The following is a 3,611-nucleotide window of genomic DNA, read 5'->3' as shown; positions in this document are numbered from 1 at the left end:
ATTTTTTATAAATTGATAGAGAGAAAAATCAATTTTCTATGTGCTAAATAGAAAGTGAAGAAGAGTTTTAGAAGTAGTAATAATGAGTGTATTGTATTGAGACAAGAGCAGGGTGACAGGTTGAACACTAAAAAAAATCATGATTAAAAATAGTCATTATAGAATTACAAGTTTTCATTTATTATTTAAAAATTTTCTACATGCAAGCTATTTGCTCTCAAACTATCATGCCTATCAGCAATACTTTTAAGGATTTAAAATATATGTATACATGTATATATTCCACTGTTTTTTATTTTGATTCTGTAAATATGAACATCTCTATTTATTGCAAATACAAGAAAAAAAATTCATAGATGATACTAATGTCGACCAAAGCTTGAGAAACTTTGTTCCAGATAATAATTGTATAAAAATATGTTAAGCGAAAAGGTAATAGTAGAGTATTTCTAAAATACATTATAGCTATATTTGCCTTTATTTTTATACACTGAAGGATACTCTATAAACAGCAATAGGATGAAAGGACTATTTATAACAAAATTAAGTAGATCTAATCAGATGAAAGTTTGCTTTAAAATAGATAAATGAAATGGCACAAAGAGTTGGTGCCACCCAATGACTCACAGCCACACTATAAACACATGAGGACATCTTCTTATATGTGAATGGAAGGTGAACTTCTCAGAATGCCAGAGGTTGGCAAGAAAATTAGAATGATCAATTGATAAAGTGAACCACATAAAATCATAGATTAGACTTTTGGAGAAAAATATATTTGTTCTAAGTTGAATTTGAAATTACTGTCTTCGGGGAATCAAATATTTGTTCTCTGTGTGTTTTTGTGAATCCCATCTATAATGCATGCATGGGGCAGTAGAGGCAGAAAAAGATTATATTACAGTACAGTAGAGTGTTGAATACTAACTCCTGATGAAGTTCTTCTAATCAGCAAGAACTGTTAGGAACACTGATCATATCCTGGCAGCTTTCTCTGAAAATGAGAAATGGAACCCTATCAGAAATAACTAAATATTTGGATATAGTTCTTTGTAGATCTCTTATGTTTCTAGACAATCTAGGTCTTCTAAGCAAAAGCATTTATAGTCAATTTAAGATTTATTTTTTATTTATTTATTTTTTTGAGGCAGGGTCTCACTCTGCCACCCAGGTGTAAGTGTAATGGCATGATCACGGCTCATTGCAATCTCGACCTCCCGGGCTCAAAAGATCCTTCAGCTTCGTTTTTTACTTTTTTTTTTTTTTTGTAGGGATGAGGTTTACTATGTTGTCCAGTCTGGTCTCAAACTCCTGGGCTCGAGCAATCCTCTTGCTTTGGCCTCCCAAAGTGCTGAAATGACAGAATTTAAGATTTTTTGTACAAGACATTCCAGAAATTTAAAGCTAAAGTCTTCCTTTTCCTCCCAGGATGAGATTTGCTTACTTTCCAAGGTAATAAGATAATACATCTCCTTGGAGGGGAGAATGTGTGTGCCTACCAGAGCATCCCTATAAGATTTGAAGGAGTCCTAAGCTTAGTATTCCTCAGCTGTGTCACTGATCCATCATGTGTTTATCATCCACATGAGTCCTCTCTACCTTGGCCCAGTAGATAGGAGAGAAAGTGAAACCAATGGGAATATGGAGCACATGTGGTCTGCTGTGTCATGAGTAATAAATTGTCTAAATCCATTTAGGCTTCTTTCTTCTTGCTAAATCTGTGATAGAGTATGGAGCTGACCTGGCAGCTGCCTACAGCTTAGAAACAACAAATAGCATTAAATCTATAATTTAACATAAGCAATTTACAACAAAAACTAAAAAACTATTTATGAGCTAATTAAAAATACATAAAACATCTATGGAAGAAAATATAAAACATGATAAAGGTAATAGAAGATAAGCTGAATTATGAGAAGACAGTTGATGCCCTTGAATGTGACATTAGCATTCTAATGATGTTAATTATTCTCAAATTTATATACCTATTCAATGAAGTTCCAATATTCTTAATGTACGTTTTTAGAAACTTGACAATGGAATCTAAAATGTAAATGGCAGAAGAGAAATGTGAATAGAAAGGTTAACTTTGTAAGAGAGTAGCAGGAAATTGAAAGAACAAAATATTTAAAAGATTTGTAGAAAAAAAAAAGAAAGCACAGTGTGGTATTGGGGCAAGCAAAGCCAAATGATATGTTGGAAGAGAGATTTCTCTATGTATATATACAAATTTAATATAAGTAATGGTAACACCACAAATCAAAAGGGAAGAGGTAGATTATTTAGCAAAAGTGTTAGAAACCTGGCACATTAAATGGAGAAATGTAAAAAAGTTTTCCTATCTAACACCATATAAAAAGATAAAATAAAATGAAATATAAATTGTAAAACTATAATGTTAACTAAACAAAAACAAGACAAAAAATGATATTTTTATTTTATCTATAAGGCAATATGGATTCTTAAAGAAATTCCAAAGCTCAACCCCTAAGAAAAAAAGTATGCATGTGCTTAACTTAAAAAGTAAGAATTTCTATCAATAAAAAATACCATGGACACCATTAATTTAAAGATAAAAATATTAAAATATATATACAATGCCTGAAATTAATGTCTAGACATAAAATTAATATCGAGTATAAAAATAATTTTTAAAACAATAGGAAAACAGCAAAAGTGTTAGAACAGACAACATAGAGAAGGAAAATTCCTCAAAGCTGGCAAACATGAGAGAATGTAGTCAAAATGATTTTAATTAGACTACACCTTTTTGAACAATGCGTATTACTTGATACTTGTTAGAATGACAAAAATTAGGATGTTCTTTAAAGCCAACTGTGAAGACGATGTGGAGATATGGTGTTCCTCAAGCACTGCTGTTGATAATGTAGTGTGGTACAGGTCTCCTAGAAAGCAATGTAATACTTCTTCCTTAAGTTATACATACACATATTCTACTACACAGCAATTATATTTTTGGGTGAGTATTACAGGGAGATTCTTCCATTGTTTTATATGAGGACATGTAAGATATTCATGGTGGCATTGATTGTAGTGGTGGGTCACTGGAGGATTATTGATTAGGTAACATTTGAAATATATACTTTCTAGAGTATTATATAAGAAGTATATGCAACAGACAGGATAAACATACAACAGGAATGGATCTTTAACATATGGTCTTTAGTGATTAAAGCAGAAAAATTAGTACATACATAACACAATTCCATTTTTGTAAATTTGAAGAACATTTATATGAAATGTTTCATTTATATGAAAGGACAATATAGATTTTGTAAGAACACACTGAAAAGATCTCCATCTATATCTAAAGCCTGAGAAGTAGCCATAAGGTAGAAAAAAAATCAAGCTTATAATTCTGTTTTGCCACCTTAAGTTTAAGAAACGATATCTATCTTTATAGATAGATATATAGATATAGACGGTTACATATTGCAGGGAGAAAGTAATGGATGTAAACATAAATTAAGAAAGGGCTTTGCAGGAGTCAATAATGATTGTGTGACCTAAAAATTTTAGGTTCACTAAGTTTACTCAGTCAATAAATTATATATACGCTAATATATGTGTATATATGCTAATATATGCAA

The 3,611-nt window shown here is 30.9% G+C and overlaps 1 annotated feature.

The window, feature by feature from the left end:
* Window positions 1,519–1,719: a silencer, noted in NCBI's record as "peak5880 fragment used in MPRA reporter construct". NCBI's record gives its function as "represses an SCP1 promoter by STARR-seq MPRAs in K562 erythroleukemia cells {active_cell/tissue: K562}" and the evidence as "EXISTENCE:reporter gene assay evidence [ECO:0000049][PMID:32103011]".

The sequence above is a fragment of the Homo sapiens genome, chromosome 6 (assembly GCF_000001405.40).
Source record: "Homo sapiens chromosome 6, GRCh38.p14 Primary Assembly".
Classification (NCBI taxonomy): domain Eukaryota; kingdom Metazoa; phylum Chordata; class Mammalia; order Primates; family Hominidae; genus Homo; species Homo sapiens.
The sequence above is the reverse complement of the archived record's forward strand: the minus strand, read 5'-3'. Positions and strand labels throughout refer to the sequence as shown.